We start from the raw sequence: 19,482 nt of genomic DNA on the forward strand, positions 1-19,482 counted from the left end.
ATATCATAAAATTCACCCGTTTTAAGCATACTAGTCAATGGTTTTTAGTAAAGGTATTGAATTGTGCAACTGTTGCCACAACCCGGTTCTAGAACATTTCTGTCATCCCAATAAGATCCCAGGGGTCAGTTTACAGTCAGTCCCCTCCCCGTCCCCTAGCCCTAGGCAACCACCAATCTACTTTCTGTCTCTATAGATTTGCCTTTTCTGGATGATCTTTTGGGTCTGGCTTCTTTCACTTAGAATAAAGTTTTGTTAACAGCTTTATTGAGATGTAATTCATATACCATACGATTCACCCATGTAACATGCACAATTCAACGGCTTTTATATTCACAGAGTTGTGTGGCCATCATCACAACCAATTTTAGAACACTGTCAAAAGAAACCCTGTACCTCTTAGCTGTTCTTTCCAAACTCCCCTAGCCCCCTCAGTCGTAGGCAATCACAAATCTACTTTCTTTTTCTACAGATTCTGGGCATTTCATATAAATGAGAAATCATATAACATGCAGTCTTTGGTGACTGGCTCCTTTCACTTAGCAAAATTTCAAGGTTCATCCATGTTGTAACAATACATCATCAGTTCAGTCCTTTTTGCTGCTGAATAGTATTCCACTGTATGGATGTGCCACATTTTGCTTATCTATTCACCCCAAAGTTGTGGACTTTGGGGTTGCTCCCACTTTTTGGCTATCATGAATAATGCTGCTCTGAAAATTCTGTGCAAGTCTTAGCAGGAACATAAGAAATCTGTATTTTTCTTTCTTTTCTTTTCTTTTTTTTTTTTTTGAGACAGTCTTGCTTTGTCGCCCAGACTGGACTGCAGTGGCACGATCTTGGCTCACTGCAACCTCCATCTCCTGGGTTCAAGCAGTTCTACCTCAGGCTCCTGAGTAGCTGGGATTACAGGGGCCCGACACCATGCCCGGCTAATTTTGCATTTTTAGTAGAGACAGGGTTTCACCAGGGTTGACCAGGCTGGTCTTGAACTTCTGACCTCAGGTCTGGTGCTTCCCGGCGTCATTCCCATCTTCCTGAAGAGCCACCCTGGCCTCGCCACCTCAGTCAGTCAAATCACTTGTGCAAAGGCTCCTTCCCCTGGGCTCTGGACTCCGTAGGAATCCATCCCATTAACAGCTCCCCAGATAAACCCAGTTTGAGACAGTTCCTTAAGCTCTGGGTACTCAGTTTTCCAGACTGGTGAAGGCTGTGAGAATGCTGACCCTCAGGGATGCGCGGGGGGCGGAGGGCGAGGGGGCTTCCCTGGCTGGTGCTCTCATTCCAGGCAGGCAGAGGTTAGGGAAGCGTATCTTCCCTAACCTCTGTCTGCCCCATTTTCCACTAAAGTTATTTTGGGCTCCCAGTAGGTCGCTGGGTGGACTTTACCTCCCACTTCGACATCCTGCCCTGTCACCTGGCTCTTCTCCTTGGCTCGGCCTGCCTTCCCCTCTGGAACCCGCCGCCTCCACAGCGCGCCTCCAACACCGCTGTCTCTGCCCCGCGCCCCAGAGCGCTCCCAGCTTTCTTTCCTACCCTTCCCATGAGTGGAGCCGGGCCTGGGGCGCCTTAGGCGGTGACGATCTGCAGAAGTCTTTGAGAATGCAAGATCTTTTGGAGCCTTCGGTCCGCCAGGGCCGGGTCCAGTCAGGACGCCCCGCTCAGACCCCTTCCCAGCCTGGGGTGGGCCCAGGCCCGTCTGCCCCCACTGCCTTGTGTTCCAGGAGCCCCCGCTCGGAGCCCAGACCCGGTGCCCGAAGATGAGAGTGCCGCTTCTCTCCGTCGGGTGAGAAGCCAGCCCACGTCCCGCCGGCCAGGCACGGTGTCTCTCGGGGCGCCCCACGGGAACCCCTGTGCCTCCATCGGCGCCCTCGGCGGCGGGGCAGTCTTGGCGCTCTCCCCTCGCCCCTGGCCCAGGCCCGGCTCGCGGGTGTAGCTCTTCCTAGGGCCCCCTCCCCTTTCCGGGCCGCGCGTCCGCCCCGCATCGCGGCGGCTCCTCGGCAGTGTTTGTTTTTATTGGACGCACAGTGACCGTGACGGGCACGGGGCGCGAGCTCTCATCACCACAATGGGTGTGCATGGCGCGGGGCGGGGGGCGCTGCCGGCCTCGAGCGAGGGAGGGGAGAGGAGGGGGTGCGCCCGTGCCCTGCCCGCCCCGAGTTCCCGAGTCCGCGCCCCACCACCGCAGCGAGCCGCCCTTCTGGGCCGCTCCTCTGTTTTCCTTTCCCATCCGTTCCCTTTGCCTCGGCTGCTCGGAGACATGTCTGGTGGCGATCGGGGACCCAGAGCCCGGCAGCCGCTCCTGTCCCTGTCCCTGCGATCCCTGTCCCTTCCCTTTGTCTCCCCGCGCAGCGCTCTCCGCCGCGGAAACTTCGCGTGACACAAACTCCTGGGGTGACAGCGGAAAGGGGAGCGTGTACCTTGTGAATTAAGAGATTTAGTCACTTGTGGAATGACTTTATTTTATAGCGACTTCCTCCCCGACTGAGTGATGTTGCATGCATTGGTTGTATTTATAACTTAATAGCTTTTCTCAATTTTATTATACTTTTTATGATACTTGTGGCTTTATGGGACTTCATAATTTTTCTCAGATTCATTAAATTCAGCTGAGGGTGGAGCTCATGACGGGAGCAGATACCCGACTCCAGGATGGCAGGGGGAGCAGGCGGGGTGCCACTCTCTCCACCCTCTGCCCCTCCTCAGTTACTGGGCGTTTTAATGACTGCTGGTGGCTGTGGTAGTGGTGGCGGCGGTGGTGGAGGCGGAGGCACGGTGTCTCTCGGGTGATCTTGGCTTAGTTTTCTCATCTGGGATGTGGGATTTGCAGGGAAACCTGCCTCAGAGATTCCTGGCTGTTTCTCAGGCAGCGGCCCACTTTTGGTGACAGACTGTGTCTGATCTAGGCTTGTCCCCAGTTCCCTCGCTGCCCTTCCTCTCTGGTTCTTTCCAACACTAACTCCTAGAATCAGAAACGCTTCCAGATGTCCCAGTCCAGCCTCCTCACTCCACAGATGGGAAGACCTAGGCTCAGAGAGGTGCCACTCCAGAATCAGGGGCAGGCAGACCGCTTCACTCCACTGCTCTCTGCTGTCTCCAGGCAATGGCCGCAGACTCTAGCTTTGCCCTCAGCTTCCTTCCTGCCTCCAAATTTAATGTCCTGTTATGGTCTCAGAGGGAAGAGTATCATCATCATAATAGTTAATATTGATAGAACACACACAATTATGTTCTTTAATCTTCACAACAGCCCTGCCAGAGTAGCTACTAGTGTTTACCATTCTACAGATGAGGCAGCAGAGGCACAAACAGATGAAACCATTTGCAGAATAAGTGGCAGTGCTGGGGTGGAGAGACTCAAGGCTACTGTACTCTGTGGTGACCTCATCTGTGGTACTCTGCGACCACAGTCACAGCTAAGCGGATTATTTGCACATTTTCCTGATGACTTCTCTCTCTCAGAATTCTTTTTTTGTTGGAAGGAGGTGGGTGGGAAGAGCAAATAGTCCAGAGGATAAATTAACAGAGCAGGGGCTCTTAATTCCAGAGCTGTGATCTTGGTTGACAGAGTGGGAGAAGGCAGAAGGGGATGTGGGTCAGCTGTGGGTGGAGAGGATGGTGGGGGCACTGGCACGAGTGTCTCTGCTGCCCTCAGGCTTTCTGGCATCCAGGATGGTAGTGATTACTGATAGATGGCAACTTTAATCAAGTGCCAACCCCTGCCCTGCTCAGAGCCTTCCAGGGGCTTGTAGACCTCTTTTATTTCTGAGACTCTAATACATTTAAAAATGAAGAGATACCAGGCAGGGTTGCAAAAGTGTCATCTGATTTGCATTCCACAAGTTAACACTTTTAACTCAACAATAGACGATGCATATAGTTGTACCACTCACAGGATCATTTCAAGGCTTAAAAGATGGTGAATGTAAGGTAAGTTCCAGGGCAGCAGGTGTACTCATCCCCTGTCTTGGTCCCTGCTGTAGCTCCCGCATCTAGAGCAGTGCTTGGCACGCAGGAGGTGCCCCATCATCTTGGCTGCTGCTCTGATGAGTGAATGATGCACTCTAGCATGGGCTGAGAGACTCCAGCTTAAACCTATGGGAGAAACACCTTCTTTCAACCCTGTTGGGGTATCCCTGTGGCTGTCAACAGACCCCATTTGGAGATTATGGTAAAAGGATAAATTGGGGCCTTTGGTGGCTTTGAGGCCGGAGTGCTGTGGCCAGCCTGCCCCCTCCCCCCTAGCCCTTGTCCCACACAGGCCTTGTTGCTCCCCTTGCCAGCCCTTCTCAGGGTTTGCCTCTCTAAGGGAGTCTTCCTGGGCCAACCTTGACAAATCCATAACCCCCTGATCCTGTTACTTAAAGGATCAGTCTCAATCAGAGGTTCCTGGACCCTTGCACTGCAGACCCTCATGCGGGAGGGGGCCCTGGAATTCTTGCATGGAGGTCTTTCGACCACTAGGTCTGCCTAACTATACTTGGAGACCAACAGAAGCCCTGTCGTGTTGATGTCTGTGTTTTTATTTTTATTTTTTCCAAGACTATTGTGAAGAGTAAATTAAAATTCTTTAAAAGTGTTCCTGGATTTATTGTAGCTTTGGGTCATCAGGCATTTCCTCAATCAACAGATGTTAGAAGTACAACCACTAGTGTGCAGGTGACTGCATGTGGCTGGTGGGGTAGTGAGTAACTTTTGGATGCTAAAAAGGATCTTTGGAATCTGGAGAGTTGGACACTCCTGCTTAGAGGATGCTGTCTTCGTGTGTTCACAACTGCCAGGTTAACTACTCACATGGTGTGGTGATGGTATGTTGTATATGTGATCAGAAAGTATACTCAGTCTCTCAGATGAGACTGCAGGAAGGCAGTGGTGGAAAGGGTGTGGAGTCAGGGGGCCTAGGTTCGAACCCTTGCTCTACTTGTGAACTAGAGAGACATCTTGCGCCAAACCATGACCTCTTTTAAGTCTTAGTTTCCTCACCTATAAAATAGGTGAAGTAAAACCATCTCTGTCAAGGGGTGATGATGACCAGGAAAAAGCTTGTTAATTAGCGAATGCCAAATCAGTTGTCACAATGGTAAGCATCAGCCATCAAATTCTTTACGTACATGCAGTGGGCTCTCTGCAAGTCAACTGGCCCAGCCCATCAGAAAATGTAACAGTCCCTGCTGGCTCCTACCTTGCCTGGCTCCCCAGCCTGAATGGGAGCTGTGCCCCATGCTTACTCTGCTCGGAGCCTCCATTATGGGCCTTGAGTGCAGGACCCTCAAGATGCATTTGTAATTTTTATTGTTATATCTTTTAATTTTATTTCGCTCTCTCCGCTGTCTTGAGCAGGGGAGATAGGGAGCTGGTATTTATTGCTGTTGCTGCGACCTACCTCTTGGAACGTATGTATCAGTTAATTTAATCTCCTCTCGTTTTATTTAAACTGTTTTTCCTGATTCACTCTCTTCACTTCTCCATCCAGAGCCCCTCCTCCTCCATTTCCCCCCACCTTTGCCCCCTCCCCTCTGGTCCTACCCTCCTTTCTGTGTCTGCTTTGGGCTCCGTCCCTTTCCTCCTCCTTCTCCCCCTTCCTCCCCATCTTTCCTCTTAGTCCTCCTCCTCCCTCCCTCCTCCCACTCTCTCCTCCCTCCTCCCTGGCCTCTGGCCTGGGCCTTTCCATTCCTGGGTTAAGGGAGGATAAAGGGGCCTCTTGCACTGAGGTTGCTACAGTATTTTCCTGGCTTCCACTCCCCCCTCTTCTCTCTCTCCCTCTCTCTCTCTGCCCCGTTGCCTGATTGACATTTACAAATTACCCAGCTGAAAGTGTTCAATCCCTGACCCGCCTGTTTCTGTTCAGCAATGAGTGAGATTTGCAAGCATTTTGTCATATAATTACTGCAAATCCCTTGAAAATTTCCACAACAAGGCTAGGTGAATGGTAATTTGGGGGCCTCCAGCCCCCAATCACCTCGACAAAAGAAATCTGAGGCCAGAAATGCAAACCAGCCCCCGATCCTTGGTATTTATTTATTTATTTATTTGGAGGGTCAGGAGGGGCTCATTGGTCGTTTTGTTTATTTCCCCTAGAGATTTCTGAGGAAAACTTGAATGGTGCAGACACATACTTCTCCACTTCCTCCTTGTACGCATGCTGTAAAATATTTGGATTGGGAGATTTATTTGCCTTACACGAGTGTATTTGTGCTGATTTTATTGTATTGACTGGGTGCATTTTTTCTGCGTTCTACTACAGTTTTATTGTGTGCCAGTCGTGGGCATACATCACCCACATTGTTTTCCGCAAAAATTATGCCCCATTTCACTGTGTCTTGATAGGACTTACTGCATTAGTACCTGAGTGCGGAGATTTGCTGCTGCTGTAGCTACCCTGCCACCTGGGGCCGCTCCATCTGGGCAGCACCAGGCACACTGGGCCACAGACACGGATACCTGGGTTTCCGTGGCCACCCCTGTGTCCCCTAATGTCTGGTAGTCTTGGCCCATAGACCTGGGGAGGGGGATGGACATGGTGGAGGGGACTGCAGTTGGCCATAGGGTCAGTGGTCCTGGGGAAGAGGGTGGAAGAGGGCACAGCTGAGCAGTGGGTTGAGGAGGACATGGGGATCTGTTAATGTGTCTGCTTCCTGCCAGCATGTGAGGACGTCTCTACCCACAGGGATTCATTCCTGAGAAGCAGGCATGGGCCTTTCACAGTCTCTCTTAGGGACTTATAACTATGATGGAAACCATGAATTTCACACTTACCATGGGCAGGGGGTGTGGTGGATAGCACGGTTGTTCTCCCCATTTTACAGATGGGGAAATGGCAGCATGGAGAGACTTGGCCACTTGCCCTGGGTCACATCTTTAGGGAGGGGCAGGTGGGGATTGAAGTCCATGCTCCCCCGACCCCAGAACCTGCTTTTTTCACCCCCTCAGGAAGAATAGGAGAAAGGAGGCAGGTAGCGAGGATGGTGATTTAAGGCAGAAGAGTTTAAAGCTGGAAAGGGTCTTAGAAACCATCTCACTCACCTCCCTGAAAGATGGGGAAACTGAAGCCCCGGGGAGGTCAGCAATTTGCCCAAAGCCAAGCAGACTATGGGTGGTCAACTGAGCGAGCCTTATTTTCCTTCTTCTCCTGGGGCCATTTACAGGGTTGGGGTCTGGCTTTTGGGTATCTGTCTGGCTTATGTGGCTACTCCCTGGTGTAAGTTTCTGTGAATGTGTGTGTGATGTTGTGTGTGTAAGAGTGTGTGTACGTGTGCATGTCAGGCAGAGTGTAGCACTGTGAGGGTGCCATGGCTGATTTGGTGGATGAGATGGATTGCCTGATGCAGGCCTGGGTCCCCGCTGCCCCTGAAGGTGGCAGTGAACTTGGCCTGTGGTCACCCCTCCAGGTTCTCTTGTCTGGTGGTTCCTGAAGTCGCCTTTCCTGTGACCACGTTTTATGGGGGGCTGGAAGATAGGTTTGGGACTGACCTGTTCCCAGGACTTCCCGAGTGACCCTCCCATGTATAGCCATTTGTCCCGGGTGATCAGTGAGTGCACGGGAAATGCAGTGGATTGATTTAAACATCTCAGCCCTTCCCCCTTTCCATATACTTTTTTATTTTTTAAGTCAAAGCTTATATAATTAAATTAAAGAAAATGTGTCTAATAATAAACTGTATTTCCTCATGGTAAAGTCCCATTTTTGAAGCAAGGTTGTAATATCATATGTAGAAATGTTTTCCCTTGGGTATTAGCTGTCTCTTCCAGTTAATTGTTTCTATCATCACATCAGGAGCTTGTAAGGAAGGGGTGGGGAGGGGGCTGCGGTCCTGCCTCCTGCCTCAGCAGTGCCACCTCCAGGAGGATCCTCCAGAAGGAAGCTGCTCAGCATCAGAGGCTGGGCTTGTTTGAGGGTGTGGGGTCAGTCCCAGGCCCACGTGGCTCAGCTGCCTCGTGAGGGCAGCTCTGAACACAGACACCCCTGCAGGTGTGGCCAGGGAGGCCTCTGCTCCTTAACCAGCCCCACAGGCAGTAGCATGTGCCTGCCCTTTGGCACACACGTGCCTATGTGTGTGACCCACCCCCATGTGCACAGATGTGCTTGCACACACAGACATCACAAACCTGTAGGTGGACAAACTACCACATGCAGACACTACCTCACTTGTGTGCACAAATGCATGCAGACTTGTGCACACTGTAGGCACACTGCTGCACATGGGGTGTCGCAAGCTGATTTTTTTTTTTTTTTGAGACAGAGTCTTGCTCTGTTGCCCAGGCTGGAGTGTAGTGGCGTGATCTCAGCTCACCACAACCTCCACCTCCCAGGCTCAAGCCATCCTCCCACCTCAGCCCCCTGAGTAGCAGGGGCACGCCACCGCACTAGCTAATTTTTGTATTTTTTGTAGAGATGGGGGTTCACCATGTTGCCCAGGCTGGTCTTGAACTCCTGGGCTCAAGAAATCTTCCCTCAGCCTCCCAAGGTGCTGGGATTACAGGCGTGAGCTACCGAGCCCAGCCACAAACTGATTTTATATTTGTATAAATACCACTCTTTCCCTCCAATTGAAGTCAGCCTATGGCTTCAGAGTCAAGAGCCCAGGTTCCAGCTTTCTCCCAGTGTTAATCTGTGTGAGCTGAGGCAACTCCACACCCTCTCTAGGCTGTGGGTCTCTCTCGTGGTAGAAGCTCTGATGGCCTCAAGTCTCTCTGAGTTCTACCTTCCCTTCTCGCGGTTATGGTCTTCTCACTCAGGGTTTCTTAGAAGGAGGCACGAAGGGGATCTCTCCTTCTTCCTGACCTCTAGCCCCTGCTTTGTCTCCTGGCACTCAAGGTCCCCACGCTTCCTCTAACCACTTTCGGTCCAGAGGCCTTTCTTCACAATGCTAAGGTCCTGCAGTGTCCAGAGGCCATCGCAGTTCAGGCCACAAATATGGGAAGCAGGCAGCGGTGAGCCGGTCATGGCTCTGCCCTCTTCTCAGCAAGCCTGGAATTTGGGTTTGCATGGAAAGCTTTAAGGAGTCTTCTGGGTAACCCCTGCAAATCCCAGACACCCTCTCCCTGCAGATCTCCATAGGCAATGGCAAAGATGGCTCATCCCAGCCAAACTGGAACCATAAAGGTATGAGATCAGTAAAGGCCCAAGGGGCTGGCTGAAGGAGAGGAGCAGGAAGGAGGAGATGAGTGGCTGCCGAGGTGGCAGGGCCAGTAGGAATGCTGGCATTCTTTTTTTTTTTAGATGGAATCTCACTCTGTTGCACAGGCTGGAGTGCAGTAGGAAGATCTCAGCTCACTGCAACCTCCGCCTCCGGGGTTCAAGCAAGTCTCCTGCCTCAGCCTCCCGAGTAGCTGGGATTACAGGTGCCCACCACCAGGCCCAGCTAATTTTTGTATTTTTAGTAGAGACAGGGTTTCACCATGTTGCCCAGGCTGGTTTCGGACTCCTGATCTCAAGAGATCCACCCACCCTGGCCTCCCAAACTGCTGGGATTACAGGCGTGAGCCACTGCACCCAGCCAGAATGCTGGCATTCTTAACCCCAAGACCATCTGTCCCCGAGGACAAGGCTCCTGACTCAGTTTCCCCTGACAAAGCCAGAAATGGAAGTAGAAAGTTTTGAGACAGGTGTTTGTATTTGTGTCCTAGATGGATTTTCACAACATCTCATTCTTCACTCCCCCTAAATGAACACCCTCAATGGTGGGGGTTGGGAAGAAGGGGGAGAAGGGTGGTAACCAGGGGCAACCCTCCTTTCTCTCCCTCATCCCGAGTTAATGCCACTGAAGAGCTCTCCAGGGCCAGCGAATCACCCACATAATTATCCCTGGAGGTAATGGGCTTGGAGAGGTGGTGGGGGGCACTGAGGGGCAGAGGGGAGCTCAGGCCGAGGGATTTGTTGAGGAAGAGGAACAGAGGGATCTCCCCCACTGTGGGAGGTGGGCTGGGACAGAATGTGGGCGCTGGGCAGGTGTGGGTCTCAGCTGTCAACCCCGCATCCCAGTCTGCTTTTCCCACAGTGACATTGGAAGTCTGACCTGGGGGCTGGGGGAGGGGAAGGAGGGGATTATGTGTGGCAGTTTTTCCTGGCTTGGAGTCTGATTTCTCTCAAGAATCCAACCTGAAGGCCAGTTTGTCTTCTATTGTCTGGTTTGAAACTTGGTTGTGTGCGTGTGTGTGTGTGTGTGTGTGTGTGTGTGTGTGTGTGTCTCACGGGTTTTCTAGTTTGGGGAGAGGTAGGTCAAAACCAGGTACCCGACTTCAGGTTCTTCTCCCTCTTCTAACTTCAGTTCTTTCCTTGGAGGAGGGCATGTGGAGGAGGGGTGTCATGTCAGACACCCCCACTTCCTAGACACAGGAGGGAAACTGCTACCGCGGCTTACAGCTGCCAGCTCACCCCACAACACATTTCTACACAGAGTCTGGAGAGAGAGTGAGTGTGTGTGTGAGAGACAGACAGATGCACACAGGCAGAGACAGGTAGCGAGGGGTTAAGCTGGAGGGGGCTTTGCAGAGAGTGGGGAGGGGGCGATCTTTGAGGATAAAGCTAACTTCCAGGAGCAGAATCCCAGATTACAAGGCAAGCCAGGGAGCGGGGTCCAATGGCTGGTCTACGTCATCAGTGTCTAGATGCTTCTCTGCCTCCTCCTGCCAACCCATCGCAGCTCCAGCACAAATTTGCATTTAAATAGAGATTTTTTTTTTTTAATGAGAAGGACCCAAGGGAGCCCCTAGACTATTAAGTTTCCTTCTGGGGGCTGTGCAGAGCCTTCTTCATTTGCCCCTCCACTCCAGCCTCCACCCTTCCTCCCCCAACTGTCATATTATTCTGCAGCCATATATTCTGAGGGCCAGATGAGGCCCTGGCTCTGACAATCTGGGGGCACTTGTGGGGACAATGGGGTCAGTGCTCCTGGGAAGACTGAGAATGTGCAGCTCTCGACCCTCTTTGTCTGCTGCGCCCAAGCACCCCACCTTCAACTCCTTTAGGCCTGGACTGTCGGTCTTGTTGCCGGCTCCGGGCTGCAGGCGATAGCGGCGGAATCCGTGTTATCTCATCACATTGGGCAGTGTGTTAAGAGGCAGGAGACCCTATTTGAGTCTTGGCTCTGCTTTCCCAAGGCTGTGTAACCTTGGGCAAGTCGCTCAACCTCCCTGAGCCACAACTGTCCCATCTGTGGAATGGGGGTAATGATAGAATCTTCCCCATAGGTGGGTGTGAGGTTGAATGAGATAATGTGGCATGGTGCTTAGCAGAGTGCCTGGCACACTGTATGCCCTCGATAACCAAATTGAGAAGATTGGATAGAGCGAGATTTCAAGAAAAGCGTCTGATGCTGTAGTGGAAAGAGCAGGATCTGTAGTCAAGAGCCCGGGTTTATTTTCCTGCAGCCTTAGTTATGAGCCATGAGGCTTTCCCATCTATGGCCTGAACTTTCCTCCTCTGTCAATTGGAGATTCTGAGTTAAAACTCACCTCAAAGGGTTTTTGTGAGCATCAAATGATACAGCCAGGGCTCAGGGTCCCTAGCGCACAATTGGTGTTCAGAAAATGTTAGTTCTTCTCTCCTTCTTCTCCCACAGGGTGGGCGGGGCAGAAAAATGTCCCAGGGGCTTGGAGAATGTTTGGGAGGAATGGGGCCAGGGAAGGTGCCCAGGGATTTGCAGCTCAATGGGAGAAGGTATGGGTTGGTCCTAGGACCCTAAGCCCGGATGAGTGGGGACATGACATTGTGTGTGTTGGGGAGGTCACAGGAAATGAGGGTGTCAGCACACCCATGGCTGATGGCTAAGGAGCCTGGGAGGGAAATTGAAGGAGAAAAGGTCAGCTCAGGTGGTCCCCCTACCTACCTCTCCCCCAGCTCCTCATCACTGGTTCTAGGAGAAGGAAATGAGACGTGACAGGTCCCTGGCCACCTGGGATAGGCTGAGAATGGAGACAGGATGGGCATAGGAGGTGCGTGTGTGTGTGTGTGTGTGTGTGTGTGTGTGTGAGAGAGAGAGAGAGAGAGAGAGAAGGAGGAAAGTAGGGAGGAAAGGAGAGAGACCTGTTATTCCTGATTCGCCTGTCCCACCACCCCCTGCCCTGGGACCCAGATTAGTCCTGGCATCTCAACTAGCAGAGTGACAGTGACAAGTTCTTTCTATGGTTTAATTTCCCTCTCCCTCCTCTTTCAAATCTTTCTCTCCTTTCCCTTTCTCTTTTTTCTCTCCCTCTTTTTTCTCTTCTTCCTTCTCTTCTGTTTTAGTTTCTACTTCCTTTCCTCTGTTTCTTTTCCCTTTTTTTTTTTGAGACAGGGTCTTGCTCTGTTGCCCAGGCTGGAGTGTGGTGGCACGATGTCGGCTTATTGCAGCCTTGATCTCCCGGGCTCAAGTGATTCTCCCACCTCAGCCTCCCGAGTAGCTGGGACTACAGGTGCATACCACCATGCCTGGCTAATTTTTAAATTTTTTGTAGAGACAGTGTTTTGCTACATTACCCAGGCTGCTCTTGAATTTCTGCGATCCTCCCACTTTGACCTCCCAAAGTACTGAGATTACAGGTATGAGCCACTGCACTGGGCCTTATTTATGATTTTATTTTATTTTATTTTATTTTATTTTATTTTTTTATTTTATTTTATTTTATTTTATTTTATTTATTTTATTTTATTTTATTTTCTGAGACAGAGTCTTGCTCTGTCGCCCAGGCTGGAGTGTAGTGGTGCCATTTCAGCTCACTGCATCCTCCACCTTCTGGGTTCAAGCAATTCTCCTGCCTCAGCCTCCTGGGTAGCTAGGATTACAGGGGTTAGCCCAGCTAATTTTTGTATTTTTAGTAGAGATGGGGTTTCACCATGTTGGCCAGACTGGTCTCTAACTCCTGACCTCGTGATCCGCCTGCCTCCACCTTCCAAAGTGCTGAGATTGCAGGCATGAGTCACCATGCCCTGCCCTCTTTTTTTATTTTTAAGGAAATAATGTCTTACAGACAGACTTCAAGAGCCTCCCCCAACCGGCCCCCAGGGCCTAGCTAGCTCTTAAGGCACCTGTGTGAGAATTAGGCACCTACTGGAAGGACCTTGCCCTGTGGGTACAGGGTGTGGCTGGTTGATGGTGCTTTCTATGAACAATTAAAGGCATCTTTCCTTCTGATGGGGAAGCCTCATACCAGGGCACGAGTTAGTTGGTGGAGCAAAGGGTGGATTTAGCCCTTGCTTTCCTCCTTGTGCAGTGAGCAACCTGCACACCCATATAGGGCAGTCCTCCACCCCTTTTCCCTCTTCTTCCTCCCACTGAGGGGCCATTCTATACTGATGCTGTTGTGTATCCCTCACATCTACATGTGTATATTTCCCCCTTTTCTCCCTTCCCTTTTCAATTCCTTTTCCTTCTTTCTCCTCCTGTTCCCAGCACTCACTGTGACAAGTCTTACACACCAGTCTCTTTGCATGCCTTTGTATGTCTTTGTGTAGCAGCCTTAGTATGTGTGTACATTATTATTGCTACATGGGATGGGTGTTCTCGTGGCATTCTTTCAGGGATTGACACATCATAGGTGCTCAAGATGGTGTGACTGGGTTGTGTGTCTATGTGTGTCTCTCTGTGCGTCTTGGCTCTCTGGCACTCCCCAGCCATTCCTTCCCCAGAGCTTAGAAGGGAGAGGGAATTAGAAGGGAATCCCACAGGGCTGAGGGCTTATCTCCTCCAGTCTCCTCTCAGCCTCTTCCTGGTCCATAGCTCTTTCACCATGATACTCAATCTTCCATGGAGACCCTGAAGAGGGCCCTGCCCTGCCCCATTGGCCTTGAGGTGGGGCCCCCTCTGCTTCCCTCCCCAGGCCTCCTAAGGCCTCCAAGCCAGAGCTGGTAGGAGAGCGGCAGGGGAGGGGGGAGTGGGAGGAGGAGAGGGAGCCCAAGGAAGCTGGGCAGGGGCTGGCGGCCCCTGGGACCCCTTTCTACAAGGACAGAGGCGGCACCAGCTGCTCCACAGAAGAAATATTCCCCAAAGTCAGAGTGGTCGTCTCGTATTTTAAGTGGCCCTTATTTATCACCATCCTCCTGGGCTCCCTATCGCTGCAAATGATGATAAAAGACAGCGGTGAGGGGGGCGCGGGGGCTGCTCCCGGCTGGCCCTGCCGCACCAGGGGAGGCGCAGGCACACAGCAACACACGGGCACAGCGACATGCACGATGACATACACACACAGATGCAGACACAGACACACAGTACCATCCATGACAACAGCTACACACACACACACACAGTGACATGCACACACAGACTTAGCTGCAACAGTGACATGCCCACAAATGCTAACCACAAACATACATGCTGGGTGACACCCAAAGCTGTGAACATACACATAGCCTGATACAGGCGCAGGGACACATTCACTTGCACACACATATACCAATATGCATGTACAGTGATAGACATACACCGGCACACACATGTGACAAACGTGTCACTCACCAAAACAAGCATGCACTCACACGCTCACCCCAGGCACTCACACCTCAGTGTACAATACCCACTCCTCGAGCCCACCGTGCTGATGTATCCACCATCTTCAGTGTGACTCTACGTGTGTCTGCCTCAGATGACCTCTGCATAGAGGCCACTGTCTCTATGTGGCAGCCAGCTCATAAGTGTGTACTCTACTCCATCTACACCTAGCCAAACACATGGATGTGCAAATGCATTCATAGTCCAACCAAAAATAATGAACACCAAACCTCACCTCTCACCATACACAGAAATTAACTCAAGATGTAAAACAATACAACTTCTGGAAGAAAACATGGGGGAAGACTTTTGGGATCTTGAGGTAGGCAGAGATTTCTTGGGTAGAACATAGTCATAGGCTGGAATTGCATATCATTGAGCACAAGCTCTGAAATCAGAAAACATCTCTTTGATTCCTGTCTTATTGTATAACTGGCTGCATTGAACTTAGGTAAGTTACTTACTTTCTCTGAGCTCATATGCCTTCTTGTACAATGAAGGTATAATACTACCTACCTCTCTGGATGCCTGTAAAGTTCAGAGAACTAATGCATGTGAAATAGTCTTTTTTAAAATTTTTATTGTTTTTGAGACAGGGTCTCACTCTGTCACCCAGGCTGGAGTTCAGTGGTGCAATGTCATTGCAACCTCCGCTTCCCAGGCTCAAGCAATTCTCCCACCTCAGCCTCCTGAGTAGCTGGGACTACAGGCATGTGCCACCATGCTCAGCTAATGTTTTAGTTTTATTTATTTATTTATTTATTTGCAGAGATGAGATCTTGTTATATTGCTCAGGCTGGTCTCAAACTCCTGGGCTCATGTGATCCTCCTGCCTTGGCCTCTCAAAGTGCTGGTATTACAGGTGTGAGTAATGGCAACTGGCCTGAAATACCTTTTGAAAGTTGTGATGCACTATATGAAGCTTGGCTAAATAGAAAAAAAGTTTTGTGTATTGTAATTATTCACACACATACTTAGGCATACCTCTTAAATAAGCAGTCCATAACGCACACACCTGCCTGCCTGCTCACTCAGGGGAGCTGGGATTGGGGCTGTCACATTGAACTTCCCCTTATCAAGGGAAGTCTCCCTCCACCCTAATCCCACACCCATTTCCACATCCAGTTGCCAATCAGCCTCCCTCCCCAGCCTCAGCCCATTAGTACAGCTCCCTGGGGGAATCTATTTTTTAAAGGTTATTAGCAGATTATTGGTTCTTTATCAACCTCAGGCCCCAATCTCCAATCTCCCAACGAAGCTATTGTCGCCTAATAAGATGCACTTGATAATCTTGGCATGAAGGTGGTGGAGGGCCTGGTGGGGTGGGGGCAGCTGGAAGGAGGGAAGGGTTAACAGCACCACCCCAGCCCCCACCCTCTCGGTCCTCAAATAGCTGAACTACTGTATGTTGTAGTTTTCAACTGCAAATCATCTTTAATAGCAGACATCACGGGATGGCTCATTACATTAAGCTATTTTTCATGCTATCTCCTGTAATATCCTCTAATCCAATGCGTTTCAAATCACCTCGGGCTAAAATAAGAGACATAGCGATGTAATAGCCTAGTGTATTAGTGGGTTAATTGCCCTGTTGTACTCCTTCTAGTAGCTATCTCTGGAATGACTTCTATATTAATTGTAAATTGCTTAATACATTTAACTCCTTGCCACCGCCCTATCCCCTAGCGAAGGAGGCCACTACCCAGTTGCTTGTGTGTGTGTGTGTGTGTGTGTGTGTGTGTGTGTGTGTGTGTGTGTTTTGTGGGCACTCCTTTCCAACTCTGGTTCCCCTCTGTCTCCTTGGTCCAAGCTGGAAGAGCAGGTTTGGAATATACTTCTCTGTCTAATGAGGGGAAGGGAATGAGACAGGCATTTATTGAACACCTACTATATGCCAGGCCCTGGGCTAGGCCTTTTCACCAAATGCTGTCTCACTGGAGCCTCAAAGACCCTGAGTAGTGGCAGCATTCAACCCAGAGGTCATGCAACTTGTTCAAGGTCACAGAGCTATGATATGATGAAGCTGTGGTTACACCCAGACCCGAGAGCTCCTAAACCACAGTGGCTGAGCGTGGGGCAGGACCCTGGAGCTTTGGACATTAAGTCAGATGCCGTCAGCAGGGTCCTGGGGCAGCTCCTGGTCTGCAGGGGAGAGACACAGCCCTTGAGAGACACAGCCCTTGACCTGTGGGAGTCCCCAGTCTGTTGGGAGAGACACAAGCCTTGCACTAGGGGAGTTCCCAGTCTGTTGAGGGAGCTCCAACCTCTAACCTGGGAAGCCCTAGTCTGATGGGAAGTCAGATCCTCTGCCAAGGGAAGCTCAGCAAATGGGGGACAGAGCTCCTGCTTTGGGAGCACCCACTCTGACGGGAGGGATATGTCTTTGCTCTAGAGAGTCTCTGGTCTGATGAAGAAAACGTCACTTCTGTCCTGGAGGAACCCTCAGTCAGATGAGGGAGACACCGATCCACACAGGGAAAACAGAAATAAGGTGCAAATGAATGACAGGCAGGCAGAGCAAGTGCACAGGGCAGACAGTGAGCTCAGAGCACGAGGGGAGAATCAGCCCTGGCCTGCGTGGGCCTCAGGGCCAGACTGGGGGTCCCTCCCTGTTCGTTGCCTCTCTCTCCCTTCCTAGATGTGTGGTCTCTGAACTTCCCCCGGGCTGCCCCTTTCCCAGTCTGCGGAGGGAAACACCCTGGCCAGGGCAGAGGTAGAGACCTTCTCCTCTTGGTGCTGACAGCCCCAGCCGGCTCCCCCTTTTCCACAGAAGCCTCCAGCGGCCTTGGGACTCTCTTTCCTCCTCTCTGGACAGGTGACAAGTGGGGGTCCCTGGGGGAGAGGAAGGAGAAAGACCAGGAAGGCAGAAGGAGCTGAAGGATGAGCATAGGGCCTGATGAAAGGGTGCCAAAGTCACAAGTCACAAGGGCAGACGAGTGTTTACCTTCTACAAAGTAGCACTTTCCACACACACAGGTACACACACACACACTTGCGCACACACATGCATGCACACACATAGGCGCACGCACACACAGGCACACACACACACTCGCGCACACACATAGGTGCGCACACAGCCGCACACTGCGCACACGCACACACACACGGACACACGCATGCACACACGCACACGCGCGCACACACACGATGCATTCTGCGTACCAGTCATACGGGAGTCACAGGATTGAAATACTCTTGTCCTGCTTTCTCGGGGCACATAGCTGGGCAGAGGGACCCAAGTTCAAAGTTGCCTCACGGAGCCTTCTTCCCTCAGGGGCGGTCCTAACGACCTCAGTCTGCGACAGAAGCGGGCCTTGGAGGCTCTCGGTGAGTCTGGGCCCGGGACTGTGGCCTCCTTACTCCCTGAGTTAAGTCCTTGGGCCAAAAAAAGAGAAAGAAGGAAGAAGAAGGAAAGGGAGGGGAGGGAAGGGACGCGGGGCGGAGGACGCAGCGGGCGGCCTGCGGAGCCGGCCTGGCTCGGGGTGGGGGCTCGGCCGGAGTTCCCGCGGCTGCTCGGCGGCGGCCGGCTCGGGAGCAACCTTGAGCGCGGCCGCGGAGACAGTGATTTAGGTGCCGGCACCGGAGCGTGAAGGTAAATGGCCACATTTCACCGTCGGGAGGTGAGCCGGAGGCGCCCGCCCTGGCCCTTCCCCCAAGGCCCCGGGCCGGTGCGGGCGGGAGTTTTGCTTCCCCTCTCTGACCCGCTCCGAGGCCCGCCTGGGAGGGCGGCGCCCCCACGGTGCAGGACAGGAGGGCTGCGCCGGGCTGCGGGGTGAGCAAGACCCCTAGAGCTGCCTTTCCCGACCCCTTCCTATTTGGGGGGCTGTTTCCCTCACTTCCCCGTCGCCCCGGCCTCCTCCCAAAGCTGCTTCCAGAGGGAAGCTGAGAAGCAAGTGCTTAAAGCCTCTGGCACTTGGGGGCGCCACCTTCTCTCAGGAGAGGGTGGGCGGCGGCACCTCCGGGGTGCTAGTCCACGCGCAGGGAGCTTCCCCAGGTCACCTCCTCTACTCCTCACCAGGGTCCATTGAGGCGGGGCCTGCCTTATCCCCATGGTGCAGATTAGGAGCCGAGGCCCGGGAGCTCGAGGGACCTGCAGAAGGCCACGCGGCTGGAAGGGGTGGAGGAGGCTGGGGACCCAGGCCCCTGAGCCTCCTGTGCTCTATTGCCTCTAAGAGGTTTGGAGTGGGGTGAGGTGGGGGGTGCTTGTGGGTGTGGGAAAGGTTGGCATCTGGCCGACCTCACTACTGTTGTGTGTGGAAGTCCTGGTTATAAAAATAATACAATGGCCAGGCATGGTGGCTTAGGCCTGTAATTCCAGCACTTAGGGAGGCTGAGGCAGGAGGATCGCCTGAGCCCAGGAGGTGGAGGCTGCAGTGAGCCATGATCATGCTACTGCATTCTAGCCTGGGCAACAGAGTGAGGCCCTGTTCTCAAAAAAATAATAATACATGCTCTTCACATTAAAAAAAATCCAGAAATGTGGATGTGATTTGAGAACCCTTTCTCCTTTGGGACAAAGCTTCCTTCCTGAGGCCCTGCCCCTCCTGCCAGGTGCTGAGCCCCTTGACCCCTCCCGTTCTAGGTAAAGCAGATGTGAGTGGAATGCTGAGATGAATTGTTCGATTCATTTCGCTGTGTTGCTGAAGAGAGGAAAAAAGAAAGAGAGCCATACCAGGGCACGCAAACATTGCCTGCGCAGAGGCATAGCATGGCACGATAGCCCCCAGCCCATCATTTTCCAGGCTCCAGCAGGGTGGCAGAACAAGGCAGGGTGGAGGGGCTCAGGGCACAAGGTCCTGGCCATGGAAGTCTCCAGCCAGTGCCAGTCTACACGGAGGCCTGCAGCAGATGGAAGGGAAATCGTTCCCTGGCTCCACTGGGGCATCTTTGGTCATTGTTATTCATAATGGCTGCTTTTTATTGGAAACCTACTACGTGGGTGGCGTACCTCTAATCATGCCAGCAGCCCTATGAAGTATGTATCGTTGTCCCTATTTTATGGATAGGAACACTG

At 52.0% G+C, this 19,482-nt stretch overlaps 1 long non-coding RNA gene across 2 annotated transcripts in view, besides 5 other annotated features; it reads left to right on the forward strand.

The window, feature by feature from the left end:
• Positions 1,912-2,786: an enhancer, noted in NCBI's record as "H3K4me1 hESC enhancer chr17:34998295-34999169 (GRCh37/hg19 assembly coordinates)". NCBI's record gives its function as "activates a minimal SCP1, AML or CMV promoter by ChIP-STARR-seq in naive H9 embryonic stem cells {active_cell/tissue: H9 hESC(naive)}" and the evidence as "EXISTENCE:reporter gene assay evidence [ECO:0000049][PMID:30033119]".
• Positions 12,913-13,113: a silencer, noted in NCBI's record as "peak2825 fragment used in MPRA reporter construct". NCBI's record gives its function as "represses an SCP1 promoter by STARR-seq MPRAs in K562 erythroleukemia cells {active_cell/tissue: K562}" and the evidence as "EXISTENCE:reporter gene assay evidence [ECO:0000049][PMID:32103011]".
• Positions 13,977-14,474: an enhancer, noted in NCBI's record as "H3K4me1 hESC enhancer chr17:35010359-35010858 (GRCh37/hg19 assembly coordinates)". NCBI's record gives its function as "activates a minimal SCP1, AML or CMV promoter by ChIP-STARR-seq in primed H9 embryonic stem cells {active_cell/tissue: H9 hESC(primed)}" and the evidence as "EXISTENCE:reporter gene assay evidence [ECO:0000049][PMID:30033119]".
• Positions 15,464-16,173: an enhancer, noted in NCBI's record as "VISTA enhancer hs362". NCBI's record gives its function as "enhancer in: limb[3/5]" and the evidence as "EXISTENCE:transgenic organism evidence [ECO:0001131][PMID:17130149]".
• Positions 17,556-18,092: an enhancer, noted in NCBI's record as "H3K27ac-H3K4me1 hESC enhancer chr17:35013913-35014450 (GRCh37/hg19 assembly coordinates)". NCBI's record gives its function as "activates a minimal SCP1, AML or CMV promoter by ChIP-STARR-seq in naive H9 embryonic stem cells {active_cell/tissue: H9 hESC(naive)}" and the evidence as "EXISTENCE:reporter gene assay evidence [ECO:0000049][PMID:30033119]".
• Positions 17,967-19,482, forward strand: part of LOC105371750 (uncharacterized) — a 115,553-nt gene continuing 114,037 nt past the window's right edge. For both annotated transcript variants that reach the window (XR_007065730.1, XR_002958156.2), the window contains exon 1: positions 17,967-18,060. This is a non-coding gene — a long non-coding RNA (uncharacterized LOC105371750). The remainder of the gene's footprint in view (positions 18,061-19,482) is intronic.

This window comes from Homo sapiens, chromosome 17 (assembly GCF_000001405.40).
Source record: "Homo sapiens chromosome 17, GRCh38.p14 Primary Assembly".
NCBI lineage: Eukaryota > Metazoa > Chordata > Mammalia > Primates > Hominidae > Homo > Homo sapiens.